General features: G+C 39.1%; 1 protein-coding gene across 2 annotated transcripts in view; it reads right to left on the bottom strand.

Moving 5' to 3' along the window:
• Positions 1-305: 305 nt before the first annotated feature.
• LOC107986837 (uncharacterized) overlaps positions 306-16,239 on the bottom strand; it is a 45,778-nt gene continuing 29,844 nt past the window's right edge. Inside the window, exons 3-4 of one of the 2 annotated variants that reach the window (XM_047421162.1) lie at positions 972-1,084; positions 306-707 (exon numbers count right to left, since the gene is read on the bottom strand). In XM_047421162.1, the coding sequence (XP_047277118.1) occupies positions 621-707; positions 972-1,084 (200 nt within the window). In that variant the 3' untranslated portion in view covers positions 306-620. The other variant, XM_047421161.1, reaches the window with a different exon arrangement.

Here is a 16,239-nt window from a genome sequence, read left to right as displayed (position 1 = left end):
CTCTATAGGCTTTGCACGTAGACACACTCCTGGAATGTAAACTGAGGAAATGTTCTTATCTGTCTCACTGACCTCTTCCAGCTCTGGATAAATGAGTTATTTTTTAATACCAGACTTAGCAAATCACAACTCTGATTCAGGATGCAAAAAAAAAATGAATTCTGTCATTTAAAAACCAGTAAGTTATCAAAAGTCCCATATATTCTATCACTGTATTCATAAAAAAATATGACAACTTTGCATGTGTTTATACGTTACACAAGTCAGAAATATGATTTTAATTATGCCACAAAACAAAACAACACTGTTGATACAAGGTCTTTAATAAGGTTGGTTACATTGAACAACAAGAAACAAATGCTCTAACAGATTATTTTTAAACCATGTGGTATAATGGCAATGAGTTTATTATCATTTCTAATGACAAAATTAAATATGCAATTATGATTCCCATCCCTCAGTTAGATAGAAAAGGAGTCCCAATCTAAATTCTATGTGATGCCCAGAAATAAAGAATCTGAACAACCGCAGTTATCATGATGACTCTTTGGAGTTAGCTCCCATCTGTCTCTGACGAAGTCTCCAGTTAACCCAGAAGGCGTTATTGCCCTGAGACAGGCTCAGGAAACTCCTAAACCAAAGAAGCTACAGTTTTTGATTGAACAGAAACTCTGAGAATGGATTACCTGGGGAAGTGCCAAGCTGCCCTGAAAAAATACAAAATTTATCATCAAGCTATTGTTGGAACATCTCTACCCTTTGGGAAATCATCCTAAAATTGCTTCCAATCCCAGTGGCTGCTGTCTATCTCAGGCCTTCTACTTCCTAATTGCATTCCCATTTTGATCCCTTATGACTAGATCATTGAGTATCCCTATCTCCATCCTATTTCTTAGCCCTTTTCTGAACTTTCTGTTCCCAAGAGGTTGTCCCATGTGTCTTCTTGGTTCAGGTATTGTCTGACCACTCACAGTGAATTGACTTCTCTCCACAGTCTGCTGCTGCCATCTTTCCACAGCCTCCTCGCCACAGTGTCTTAGGAAGCAGTCATTCATCTTCATGGACCATCCCCACCTCATCTCTTCTGTGTAGCAGCAGAAACAAAAAGAAAGAGGATGTTTTGCTATGATTGAGTTTAGTTTGGTTCTTTGGGGTTCTATCCTTGGCCCTCTGCTCAATGAAGGAGTAGTTTCAGATATTTTCCCCTCATCCCAGACAGAACAACAGTTTCTGATTCACTTCATCCTCCCACTGTCTCCGCCACAACCACACAATACCTTTCAACAGTGCCTTCTGCCAAAAAGCTTGGCCACTTCTGCCCTGAGTCCTACAGGTAAAATTAGCATAAGATTCATGTTTTCTTTTGAACTTTGCTTGACTTATTTTTCTAAAGGTTTTCTAAACTCTCTTGCACTTAAACCCATGTTGTAATGCTGTTAAGTCATTAAAGCAAAGTAAAACAAAGAAAACAGCTTCAGGGTACTGCTTTTTAAAATCTTAAAGGATGAAGTCAAAACAAGAATTTCCAGAGTGGCTCTTTGGTGAGGAGGATCTGATGTCTCAAAACATATATACAGTCACTCCCTACCTCACAGAGAGGCATCCCATAATAGCTCTTCCTTGCTGTGTCTTTCCCAGCAGTTGCCTCCCCTGCAATGCTGCCTGCTGCCTTGCTTCTGTTTGACCTTTGGGGAGGTCTCTGCCCTTTTTCTCAGATGCACCTACTTCAGGTTGCCATCTCACAATGACTGAGGTATTTGCTGTCACTCATTCACCCCATGCATCCAGGAAAGTGATTACAATGCAGTTCTCTCTTTGAATAAATAATGTAGATCTGCTGATTTCTGAATTTACTCTGTGTGGAGGTCAGTTCCAGAAACACTCGTTGCTCTCTCTCCAAAGCTTCTTTTCTCAGATATGTGTAAATGATTACTGTTTATTATCTCTCTTAGTGAAGGAAAGAAAGAAAATAATGAAGAAACACATGTATTGATCACAGATCTGAAGCCAAGCAGTGTGTTACGTGTTTGCACATGCATTTTTATTTTTGCAACAGCTGAGTCTCTGATTTGAACACAGTATGATTCCAAAATCCAGATTCTTCCCAATACATCCCACTGCCATGCGCCACACAGAGCAGATGTCCTTTTAAGAAATATGGGAAGAATAAATATGGGATGAGTGGCTGTTGTGCTAAAAAGAATTGTCTGTGACTTCTGTTCCAGTCTCTCACTGACTTTGCCTCACCTAGTCTCTTGTTCATTTGTTTTTTACCTAAATAGTGCAACCAGAGGGAGCTTCCAGGGACAATGTCTGAAATTTCAGCCTTGTACCCCTCTACCTTTTCAAATAAAAGATTTGTAGTATGCAAGACTTTTCATTTAAAGTAAAATTGCTACATAGATGCCTATGCATAGTTGTGATAACAAATAGGAACACCTAGTAGATGCATTAACACAATATGTATTTGGTTTACTAGTGAAAGCATGAACCTCAGTAACTGGGCATTCAGTGGCTTCATTTTTGTAAGAGAGAAGAGAATGAGGAGAAGGAGGAAGTGAAAACTCAAGGCACTAACAAGGGATGGCCATCTTTAGGAGGGCAGACAAGGAAGCACAACCCAGTTAGTAAATCAAGGGTGGAGTTAGCACACTCAAGGAAGGAGGAGGTAGAAAGAGAAACAAAAGGGTACAAACCCAATCTGGGCCTAAGGGACAACCCCACCTAAACTGATTAGGGGAGAAGAGCTAGAAGGAACGATGAGAAACCAGCAAAAAGGAAGAGAAATTTTCCACAATGGCATCTGAGCTTACCTCTATTACAGAATACATACCATTTTCTGTTGAAAATCTGTTTACTTGCCTGCACCCTCCTTTAGATCATCAGTTTTTAGAGGACAAGGACCTTGTTTATTTAATTTGTGCAGGACCAGAGCCTTGTGCACTGTCTGGCATGTAGCAGAGGCTTGATTCATGTTTGATGGATGAATGAATCAAATCATTTTCCTTTCTTTTCTATTTCCTATGCATAACATCTTGGCTATGAGGAACTGGATGTACTTCATATATGATGGCACTTCAGCTGTCTGAACTGTCATCATATATGAAGTACACTCAGTTTTGAGGAATACCCAGGGTTCTTAGAGGTGCCAGGGGTCCTTGAAATATATAAACTGTGTCATTTACAGAAATGCAGCATACACATCCAACTCAGAACTGTAGCAAACACATCTAACGTCTAACAAATATTGGGTTTTTTAAAGTTTTTTTCAAGTTATTATTTGTAATAGGCATTTTATTTATTTTCAGGGGTCTTTATTTATACTTCTTTACATAATTTATTTTTATATAAATCATTTACATCAGACTCTATTCAGGCTTCTATTACATTATACTTCGATATATGTAAGACAGGTTTAGATGAAATATAGCTAATGGTTCCAAAATAGTTCCTGTAGACATGCTATATATTTTAAACTTAATTTAATTTCCTTCTTACGTACCAGAGAAAAAAAAAGTATGAGTTTTTTTTCCAAGCATCTCTCTTTCCTCATTATCAAAGTATTCATACTGAATTATTTTTAAAAGGCAGCATTTAGTATTCAATCAAATAATGAGAATGTGTTCCTTCCCAGTGGTTTAATAATAATTCTTGCATCACCAACCCTGAATATTCATGTTATGGAAATGTGCCCTACTTCTATAGATTTCATCACTGTCAGCTGGTGCCACAGCAGAACACAGGGACAGTCAGTCTTAATACAGTCAAGATTTCAGCAATTACCAAAGTGTCTTCTCTGACTTACCATCAATAATTCAACTTTTGAGGAATATAATGCTGAGACACAGGAGGCTGACCAACAAATATTCTGCTATTCTTTGGAAAACAGCCACCTAGCTGCATAAAATTGTGATGTCATTTGACTGAAGTCCTGCTTCGGCTCTATCTGCATGACATAAAGACAACTGATCTATTCAGGGAAGAAGTAAATCCATCAAGCCAGTTTTGTTTTGTTTTTTCGTCTTTGGTAAATCAAGTTATAGAATATATTTTTTTCTCTTCATTTTGCTGTTAGAACATAGCTTGTCAGTGGTCTGATATTCATCATCCTCATTTCTCAAAACATGTGTTAATCATGCTTTAACCTCGATTTTCTGTTAGTGGTGTGACCTTGGTCTAGTCAGTCCCTCTAAGAGTCAGTTTCCTCATCTGCAAAATGAGGAAGTGGGATTAGGTGGGGGTCAACGAACTTTTTCTGCTCAAGGAGAGATAATAAGTATTTTAGGCTTTGCATGACATATAATCTCTGTTCCAACTACTCAATTCTGCCACTTTAATGTAAAAGCACCCACAGATAATACGTAAATGAATGAGCATTTCTGTGTTCTAATAAAATATTATTTTACAAAAACAGGCAGGTGGCAAGACAGATTTGGCTGCATGCAGTAGCTTGCTGACCTCACTCAAGTCTTTTTCAAGTCTGTGATTCTATATAATAGATACATAAAAAGCACCTAAAGATCAAAAGGCAGAATAAACCTACCAAGTCCCTCAATCATCTAAAATGTAAGGGGCATAGAAATTTCCAATTACAGAATAATTCCTCTAAAAAAGTCAACTAGGCCTAAGTGAACCCAGCTGGTTAACAGATTAACAAAGTTCATTCAACTCTTGCCAGTCAGTGTCTATGTTATTAGTGGCCCTAGCATACACAGATGCCATAAAATTAGGTCCAAGTCTCCAAGCTGTTTGTGTATGAGAAGAGAATATGCACATCAGCTTGCAAGAGTAATAGGATTTCACTCCAGGTTTTTGTTGCCTTGGCATTGAAGAAACTAATCTGCATTAAAAACAACATATTAGGTCACATTGTAGTTTCAAGCTTGCATCTCTGGGTAAAGCACCTATTTTATTTAGTAGCTCAGATGGTAAAAACCCTGAAAGGAAAGGTCATGTATTAATCCTTTTAGATGGTCTGTGAATGTCTACAGTTTCATTCTATTCTGCTACTATGAACTGCATGCACCCAAACACACATGCCATAGTCAGAGAATGCTAACCTGTGGAGACTGAGTAGACAACTGGTGCCGAAAGATGATTCTGTTATATTCAGAACAAGTTTAGACTATTTATGGGGTATAACAATTGCCCAAGAAACATATCCACAGTGACAAAGAATACCAGGATTAAAAAAAAACAAAATGAATGACAGTCTGTTTGGTTTATAGCAGGGCTTCTCAACCTCAGAACCATTGGCATTTGGGCTGGATAATTTTTTGATGTGGAGGACTTCTATGCACTGTAGAATATTTAGCAGCGTCATCGGCCTCTACATACCTAAGTTGTCGGGGTCCCCAACCATTTTGGCACCAAGGATCAGTTTTGTGGAAGACAATTTTTCCAAGGACAGGGGTGGGGGGTGGTTTCAGAATGAAACTGTTTCATCTCAGATGAGACATTAGTTAGATTCTCATAAGGAGCATGCAACCTAGATCCCTCACATGCACAGTTCACAATAGGGTACATAATCAGTCGCTGCTGATCTGCAGGAGGTGGAGTTCAGGCAGTAGTGCTCACTCTCCAGTCGCTTACCTCCTGCTGTATGGCCCAGTTCCTAACAGGCCATAGACCAGTACCAGTCCACGGCCTGGGAGTTGGGGACCCTTGCACTAGATGAAGTAACAGTAACTCCCATTCCCCCTTCCCCTGTCATGACAAACGAAAATGTCTCCAGGCATTGCCAGATGTCCTGGGTTGAGGGAAGGGGAGGGCAAAATTACAGCTAGTTGACAACGTCTAAAGTATAGAAAGTTTAGATATTTAATTGGTCACAAATCATCATCCATACCTCAGAAGTCAAATACTACTCCACACCAAACCTGATATTTACAAATGTGTTATAATGACTTTCCAGGTCCCTTCCAACTAATTCCAACTAATCACAAAACAACAATAAGAAGAAAAGTGGAGCGGGTATTGTCTGGGGAAGAATATTGCTGTCTAAGTCCTTTGTCCTAAACTGTTTCTAACTCTTGTTTAATAGCAATGTTCTGATTTCTAAATTATACACATAGGAGAACCAGACAAGACTCACTATGTCCAACTTCACTCCTAAATTATTGTTCATTATTGCTTGCCTCAGTTACTAGTGAAAAGATCACAGAGCCTTAGGCCATAGCTCAATGTCCTAAAACTCAGTCAGCCTATGTGAACTTCAGCTGTTGAGTTCCTGATCTCAAACTGTTGTTCCAGGACATTGGTCTCTTCATCTACCTTACCTAAACCTCTGCCTGCCTTTCCCAGTTTTCTGAGGGAGTAATGTCTGTACTCCAGACCTACTGCTGGGTCCCTACTACCTGCTATACACTTTCCAGTAAACCATATTCTACTCATTGAGACTTCATTGGGTCATTTCCTTCCTGCTGATATTTTTCCCCATCTGCTCACATATCTGTGTTCCAATTATCCCTGTTCTGTGGGGGTCTCATTGTTGGGTTCTGGGCATAAAATCAATTGCCTACTTATTCATTTTAAAGAAATAGTAATCATAGAAGAAAAAGGAGAGAAGGAACTGTGTGGTTACTTCAAAGGCATCCCATCTTGAAAAGCTTCCTAGTATAACCTGACAACCAGAACTCTATTATTAAAAGAAAAATCATCACAGGATATGCTCTTATGCTATGTTACTATCATATAAGGCTTTTCAACATTCTGAGTCATGCAGAAATTTCTACTGTTCTCTGATATTTTAGACAGAGAGAGCAAAACCAGAAAGATGTCAATCAGGTGATATGATCCATGGAATTGTTCTTCTATGCAAGTTAAAAAAAAAAGTAGACACAATAACAAGTTGAAACTGAACATGAGATTAATTTTAAATCTTACACAAAATCATGTATAACTTCAGCTGGGGAAAATAATGTTAAATCATGTTGAATTACAAATATAGGTATGTATATTCTTATACTCTTCTTTCAGTATCCCAAGGAAAGTTTGTCTATGCATAAAGGTGGCCAGGAAACGTTTATTTAAACACAAAGATAGTTTTTATTTCATCTCTGAGGTCAGGTGGAGAAGAAATTCTGTTTGTTTGACTTATGCTGCATATAATGAGCACCAGTGAAAAATACCTGAATTATAAACACACCAAACTGTGCAGTCTTAACCATGAGACATGCAGGAACTTCAAACACTGGCAGAGAGAAGAGCATGGGCCAGCATCCTGGGTGGGATTCAGGGAATTAGGGTTGGGGCAGACACAGAGGTAGCTCAACCAGCTGAAAGTACAGAGCAGGAGAAGTTAGCTGCTGTACAAATCCCAATGGGAAAGAGGCCTTCCCCAGTGCTCAGAGTGGGGTTACTTCCATAAAGACCTATAGAGTAGAGCTCAGCAGCAGGCAGAAACCACAGTAATGTTATGGTTCAAGGAGGGTCCATCTGATTGGAAGCACATCTCAAGCCAACAACTCAAAGGGCATAGATAGTGAAAGGGACAAGAAGTGTGGGGTTGAGAAGTTCTGTTGAATAGAATGGCTGTCAGGCCTCTGTTGAACATACTGGGTTTCAGTTCAAGGCTTGAGTCCCAGATGGCAACGTAAGTACAAATCAGGAAGAAGGCCAGATATCCAAGAAGTCAGTTTCCAGAATCCATTCACTGGAGAGGATAAGATTCTAATATTCCTAAGCCTTGCTCATGCATTCATGCAATCTTTTGTTCAACAAATGCATACTAAACACCTACCAAGCACTGCTAGACACTGTTCTTGGCTCTGCAGAGTCGATGGGGAAAAATAAACATAGCCCTGGTTCTTATAAAGAGCTTTGCTGGAATTGCTTTGAGGCTTAATTAGCACTGAATATATAGATTACAAAACATCACATCAGGGCTAATAGACACTACCAGCGCTAGCAAGATCAAATGGCCTGTGCCCTTGAAAAATTCTGCTCCATCCCAAAGGTAGCCAGTTGGGTAGCAAGAAAAGAATATAGCGGATGTGCATTCTGCCCACACCCACTATGAGGAACTTAGTTCTACCACCTTAAAAGCATTGCTAAATAATAAATGGAGGCCATGATGATGATGATGAGCAGTAGTAATAGTTATTTAATTGTTTTGGGATCCAGCCAAGAGCCAGAAATCATACAGGTTAAACAGAAAGAAATTAATATAAAGAATTGTTAATTTTGGCCGGGTGCAGTGGCTCACGCCTGTAATCCCAACACTTTCGGAGGCCGAGGCGGGCAGATCACGAGGTCAGGAGACGGAGACCATCCTGGACAACATGGTGAAACCCCGCCTCTACTAAAAATACAAAAAATTAGCTGGGCGTGATGGCATGTGCTTGTAATCCCAGTTCTTCGGGAGGCTGAAGCAGGAGAATCCCTTGAACCCACGAGGTGGAGCTTGCAGTAAGCCAAGATCGTGCCACTGCACTCCAGCCTGGCGACAGAGTGAGAATCTGTCTCAAAATAAAATAAAATAAAATAAAATAAAATAAAATAAAATAAAGAATTGTTAATTTTATAAAAGTTGTTAATTAAGTACTGAAATGGCAAAAAGAGAACTCTAAGGTATCATAGAGGTAGCAACCATTCCTAGAATTCGAGGAACAAAATGAAGATATTAGAATTATTAACAGTTAGAAGCCTGGAGCACAGGCCTCACAGACTCCTGAGGAGAATCTGATGGTGCTGAGTCCCTGAGCTTAGCGGGAGGAGGCATCCCATGGTTCTGGGTCCCAGATCTCTGAAGAAGGGGAGCCAGCGACTGATGCTGACTCTGTGAGTGTCAGGGAAACCACAAACTGGACTCCTCTGCTGCTATTGGAACAAACTGCTGCTGCAAGACTGAAGAGGCATTGCTGGGTGATGCTCATGGGAAAAGAAAGCCAGCAGAAAGCAAATAGGAAGAAAAACAAAAACAACAGCAAAAAAGAAAGAACATGTTCCATCTACCTCCTCCTGCTTACAATTTCCTGTAGTATCCCCAACTGACAGGGTTTAACCAATCAAAAAAGCAGAAACATGGTTTGCAGATGCCCACAGCCCATGTATCAAAAAGCAAAATGTAGACAGTTGGGTTTGAAGCTGAGAGATGTTAGTTTAATAACCAACCCAGTAATCAAAGGCAAATTCTTTACCTTCCTGAGACATAGTTTATAAAATAAGGACAATAATGCCTAACATAAAAAGTCATTTTAAGAATTAGACAAAATGTGCATAAAGCACTTCACATAGTGCTTGACAAATAAAATGCATTATTTCACAACAGTTAATCATTTCCACTCCTGCCTTATCATTCCAAGTACACCTGCTATCCCAGTACCTTTCTTAAACAACCACTTCGTAGAACTCCACATGTGGCCTAATCTATTGCCAGGATGTATCTCAGTAGGAAAAAGCTATTTGTAAGGCCTTAGCCAACACGGAGTTCTTCCAGGTTGGAGATGATATATATATCTTGTATTTTAACTTCCTTCCCTTCCTGTAATCCTGAAAATATGGCCAAAAATTTTCACCCAGATTCTCCTTTGCCCTTGCCACTATCAACCCAAGAGGCCAGCTCTTCCGGTCCATGAAGACACATTTAAGTTCCTTCTCTCTTGCCCATGAAAATTTCTAGCAAGATTTAAAAGTTGATCCAACATCCCTCACCCTAAAGAACAGTCTTTGATACCTTGTGGCCTGGGAGGATCACAGGCCCAAAATGTGAACATAGGAACCCACACCATTTTTCTGATGTTCTCAATCTGGCAGCCATTTCTGCTCAGCATCGTTTGAGACAGCAGAGACCTTAGTTCTAGGAAAGAGAAGTATTGACAGTAGAGTAGCATCAGGTGCTGTGTGGCACATTTTAGAGGCAAGAGCTACCATGCCCATGAATGGTCCATAAAAACCAACTCCTGCAAAAAAGCAAAATGTAGTTCTTCTATCTCACCTGAAACTATGTGTTCCTAATAGTTTACTCCTTTCCTGATCAATGGCTCATTGGTTTTATCTTTATTATTTATAAGACCTTGGAAATTTTTTTAACCTCTAAGCTTTGTTCGATTCCTTGTGAAATGGCATTCCTAAAACTGTCCCACAAATTTGTAACAGGGATTAGATAAAAGAACATATGCTCAGAGAAACGGGGAAATAGTGAATTGTTTAATGAATATAGACTTTCAGTTTTGCATGACAAAATAGTTCTGGAGCTCTGTTATAAAACAACATGAATATACTCAACATTACTGAACTATAGTCTCAAAAATTGTTAATAAATTTTATGTTTGTGTCTTTTAAGCATGTTTTTAAAAATGTTTATTGAATGAATGAATAAAAGTTACTATTATGTATGCACACATGTGCACGCACACACACACACACATACACACACAGACACAAGAATACATATTCATCACTCATCACAATGCCTGGCATATCATAAGATTCAAATATCTATGAGGTTCTGTCTGTTTCCCTTTGGAGTGTCCCAAGAATCTCTTCTCTTCAGCCTCACCTGCATGAATTTTTAATTTCTCTTCTTCTGAACACGGTGGGGATTTAATGACATTCTGTTTAGTACTACTCCTCAATGGTTCCATTTGAGCATGTTTTATCTTGCCAAATAGATCTTCAGCTCCTGCCAAGAAGGCACCATATCTTATTTTATGCTCCCCTTCATGTCCAGTGCAATCTTTGCATTAACTGTTGGCTGGGATTCTACTCCAGATGAGATGGACTCTCTGAGAGTCATAGCCTTCCAGTCGCCACTGCCTGTTCTTGGGCCCCACCCATCTTTATAAATCAATATTTACTTATTGATTAGTTCATGCAGAGATCTCAATTCAGAGGAGGGGACAATGTATGGGAAGGCAGGAAGAGGATTTAAAAATATACAAAATGTAGTTATTGTCCTCAAAATGCTTACAATCTATTTGCACAGAAAAAGTAAACAAAGAAGTTGGTTAAACTACAAGGAAAGAAATCTCTAAGTGTTTGCTGGGTGTTACAGACAATGTAGGAGTTCAGGAAGATATGGATACTTCCAGAGAAATTCAGCAAGACATTATCTTCAGATAAACACAAGCACTAGATGATATTTTCTTCAGAGTTAATATGATTCTTCAAGGGGAAAACTGCATCTGCCAGCTAACTCTAACTTTGCAATAAAATTATGAAATATTTTTTCAGGATAAAAACAGCAACATTTTAGGCACTGCAATAAACTCTATGTGTAATACTATCCCTAATCCTAAAAAAAAGAATTATCCCTGTTTATAAAGAAACTGTCTCCAAGAAGCTGTTACTTGCTTGCAGATGCAGAGCTAGTTATTCAATTTGAGCACAGATCTCTCTGACTCCAAATCATGGATTCTTCCTACTATGTAACTCATTCATTCATCAAACTTTTTATTTTATTTTATTTTATTTATTTATTTATTTGAGACAGAGTCTCACTCTGTCGCCCAGGCTGGAATCTCAGCTCACTGTAAGCTCTGCCTCCTGGATTCACACCATTCTCCTGCCTCAGCCTCCTGAGTAGCTGGGACTATAGGTGCCTGCCACCATGCCTGGCTGATTTTTTGTATTTTTTAGTAGAGACGGGGTTTCACCATGTTAGCCAGGATGGTCTCGATCTCCTGACCTCGTGATCCGCCTGCCTTGGCCTCCCAAAGTGCTGGGATTACAGGCGTGGGCCACCACGCCCAGCCTCATTCGTCAAATATTTATTGAGCATTTACTATCAGCATGTTTCATGCTGAAGATATAAAACATAAGAAACCATGATTTTTTTTCTTTCATGTGGCTCACAGTCCAATAAGAAGGCAATTCCATAAAGACAATTCCAACAAAATTTGGTGAGTCCAAGAATCAAGATCTGCAAGAGAAACTATGTAGCACATAAGAGGGAAATCTAATCCATCCTGGGAAATTCTGAAAGGTTGCTTGTAGCAGTGAAACTTTTTGTAAAGCCTTAATGAGTAAAATAAGCAATAATGGCTGATGTGTGTGATGGATAATTTTAGGTGTCAACTTGTCCGCATTAAGGGATACCTAGTTGGCTGCTAAAGCATAATTTCTGGGTGTGTCTGTGAAGATGTTTTGGGCAGAGATTGGCACGTGAGTCAATGGATGAGTGGGGGAGATCTGCCTTCAATGTGGCCAGGCACCAACCAATCAGATGGGAGGCTAGATAGAACAGAAAGGCAAATTTGCACTCTCTCTCTCTCTCTCTCTCCTGAAGCTGGGACACACTTCTCCTATGATTAGACATCAGAACTCCAGGGCTTTGGACTCTGAAACTTGCACCAGTGGCTTCCTGGGTTCTCAGGCCTTTGACTTCCCTGGTTCTGAGGCTTTCAGACTTGAACTGAGCCATGCTACCAGCATCCCTGGATCTTTAGGTGGTAGATGACCCGTTGTGGCACTTCTCAGTCTCCATAATCATGTGAGCCAATTCCCCTAATAAATCCTCTCTCATCTATCTATCTATCTATCTATCTATCTATCTATCTATCTATCTATTTATCTATCTATCTATCTATTCATCCTGTTGGTTCTGTCTCACTGAAGAACTCTGACTCATGCAATATGCATACTTACTAAGCAGAAAGAATATTATCCCTGACTTAAAAATGAGAAAATTGAGACACAGAGAAGTGAGCAATTTGCCCAAGTTTAAACAGTTTGTAAGTAAGTGGTAAAGCCAGGTTATGATAAACATGTTCTCTCTGAATTTCTGTCCATGCATAGGAATTTGCCAGAAAAAAATTAGACTGAAGAGGGGCATTTTTTGCAACAGAAAAATTCAGAACAAGGCACAATAAACTGCACTGTATGAGACCACACAAGATGTCCACCATGGCTGAAGCAGAAAATAGCAGGAGATGAAAATGGACAAATAGGGGCCAGATCATGAAAGGTCTTATGTGCTATGCTAAGGATGTTAGAATTTATCCCGTAAACTATAGAGGAACATCTTCAGATTTGCACATCAAAAAATGATTATGCCACCTACCTGGAGAGTGAATGTGAGGGTTAAGCCTAGAGAGAACAGAGCCCATCTGAAGGCCATTTTAATAGTGCAGCAGAGAGAAAATGAGAACGCGAATTCAGGTAGAGACAGCAAGATGGAGAGCTTGGATACAAGACATGTTTAAATAGCAAAATAGGCAGAACTTGATGATGAACTAGATGTGCCTACTTCCCTGCCCATCAGACTTTCCTGTTTTAAATAATTTGTTCAGGAAAAGAAAAACATAAAAACATGTATTTGTCATTTCATAAGTGGCTAGGCATGGTGCTAGATATGGGAGCATTACAAATGAATAACACAATTCCCATCCTAGAAGGGCCTACTGTCTGGAGTGGTGGTGAATAAGGACAAGCACAATACAGGGTTTTGTGGTTGTGATAGAAACAGGTCCAACATGCACAGGGGGTTAGCTCTGTGCATGTTGGACCATTTTGGACCACAAGGCAGGAGTGGTTAGCTCTAATCAGGAAGATCAGAGAAGGGTGGAGGGAGCGGATGATCCAAATTAAATCTGAAGAAATGTGCAGGTGCTTTCCAGTGGATCATGAATTACTTGGGCTGGATGTTTCTCCAGTGTAGAGTGACAGGAATACAGCAGAATAAACAGTTTCAGTGAATTATGCAGAGGAGGTAAGAGGGGCAGGATAAATGTGAAGAAGGCGAAGGCATCCAAAGTAGAACAGAAATTTGTTAGCTGTCAGTTCCTCTATTAAAAGACCTAAGCACAAGAGAGAAATTGAGGTCATGGAAGGATGAAGGTGGGAGACAAGATAGTGATCTGCAATCAAACTATCAGAAACACTGGGGTTTCACAGCACTGTCTGTGGCCATGCCATAACACTCCATCTAGCCTCACCTTGAGGCCAAGAGTTGATGCTCAGTATGCTTGGAGAAGTGGCTTTCTTATAATTGTAGGAGGTCATCTTGAAATTCACAGTTAGGAGTCTATGCATTAAGCAGTCCCTACTTGTTTTCTAAAGGATTTTAAATTACCGCATAATAAGTTATGTTTAGAAGCCTCACTGCTTCAGTCACAAATATTGATCTTTGTGAGCAAAGGTGCCTTTTTGGATAGATGTGTTTACACAGACATTATTTTCTCTAAATGTAATGCCCATTGCCAAAGAACAAGATTATTTATGAATATAAACTCTCAGACTTGAAAAAGAACACCTTTGTTTAACCTGTTTAATATACAACATCTATGCAAATAATTTCCAAATCTCAGGCATCTTCCTGGAAATGGCTGTCTATTACTTCTAAATTCAAATTCCTACTGCTATCTCTAAAAATCAAATAAGAAAAAGGGAAATTATTTTATTGAAATTGATCATAGACTTGCTATATGGTTGGGTCAACACTATAGCATAGGCTAAAAACCTAGCTCTTTGATTTTGAATAATCTCCATATTCTTTGTGAGGAGACTTAAAATTATTTTTTCTTAAGAAAAATAAAACAATTTGTTTAGTGAAAAAAAGTTGAATAAAGTCCTTTTAATTAGATGTATACATTAACCATGAAATTGTGCAGAATAATTATTGTGACATTTGTCCATTGATCATAATGAAACTTATAGTAAGAATGATTAGAACATAAACAAGTCAGAGAAAATATGAACCTAAGTGTCATTTGAGGCAGTTGTAGCAAGATTTAGTAAAGATTGAGCCTCCCATGATAAAAATGTTATTTTATTTTCTATAAAATATATTATTTTGTTCTCATTATATGAAGGTGGCAACTTGGAATTAGGAATCAAAAATTCTTTATCTCTCACCATCAGTCATGCCCAGTTCAATCCAGAAATATCAAAATCTCTGATCACATGCCAAACTAAGATAAATGGTAATAGAGCTTTCAGATATTCAACACCTGCAATAAAATAAACGGAGTTATGACACCAGAAAACAGCAGGTTAAGGGCTAAGGTGAGCCATGCCTTTTCACACATAATAGCATGTTTATTCATCCCACTATACCTGTCCAGTTTTCCAACAATATCTTTGTTTGTCATCACCCCACCTCCAATGAGTTGCCAAGGCCTAACATCGACCTAACGTTTTTGCTAAAAGCCTCTCAAATCTGCTCACTTTCCACCATCCTCATTGTCTCTACCCTAATCTGGGTGCTCATGACCTCTTCCTTGTCTCTTCACTGGTCCTGATGCCTCCCCTTGTGGTCTCTCCAATTGCTGTTTATACTGCTCTCCAAATGCAAATCTGGTCATAGTACTCTTCTGCTGAAGACAATTCAATGGTTCCCTGTGTTCTCCAGATAAAGTCTTATATGCTCACAATATAATATTTTTCTAATCAGACCCCTGCTCACCTCTTAATCCCCTTCTCCTTACTGATTCTTATGAAAATAGCCTGTGTTTTAGCTATCATAAACTACAGACAGGCTCTCTTTCTCTGAGGCCTTTCCATCCATTGCCCCCTCTTACTAAGAAACCATCCCTGCCATATTTCTGCCATTAATATGGCTAATTCTTACTTAACTTACAGGTTTCCTCTCAGATAGTAGCTCTTCCAGGATGCCTTCTACTCTACCTGCTTTGATATGTCCATAGGAATTGATTATCATCAATTTGGTTTTCCCTTTTAGCTTCCGTAACACATCAGTAAGTATTCTTTGAAAAAATGAGAAAATCCAAATCATTTTGTTTCACGACTGGGTTGGATGTAGCACTTGTGTGAAAAGATACAACATAGTAACAACAAATTAAACCACTCAGCTTTGTATCCCAGATTCCAATGCTTGGAAACACATCTACCCAGGCCATGTTAACTCTACACGATCAAGGGTTGACAGGGGCCCTGATATCACTAAAACCAAGTCCCATAAGTATAAAAATGGGTTTATATTTTCCAGAAAGCCAAAGGCTTGAGGTTGCCAAAAGATCTCTCTAGTTTTATTAATATAAAAATTAACCTTTATTGCTGCAGGATCATCCCAGTGACATGTAGTCTGAAAGGTAATCAACTGCTTCCTTCTCACAGTGTCTAGTAGCCACCTAGCTAAAAGAGGGCAGAGCATCACACAGCTCTAACACGCTTCCTGTTCTCTAAATCTAAACAAGCATGATAACCAGAAGCAAATTCAATCAAAAGAAGTATTACTACTTTCTCAAATGACTAATACAAAACCAGCTATTTAACAACAACAAAAAAAAATACTTTAGAACCCATTTAAGGTTTGGAGTTACCTTAAATGGGTTCCCA

The sequence above is a fragment of the Homo sapiens genome, chromosome 7 (assembly GCF_000001405.40).
Source record: "Homo sapiens chromosome 7, GRCh38.p14 Primary Assembly".
NCBI classification, from domain to species: domain Eukaryota; kingdom Metazoa; phylum Chordata; class Mammalia; order Primates; family Hominidae; genus Homo; species Homo sapiens.
The sequence above is the reverse complement of the archived record's forward strand: the minus strand, read 5'-3'. Positions and strand labels throughout refer to the sequence as shown.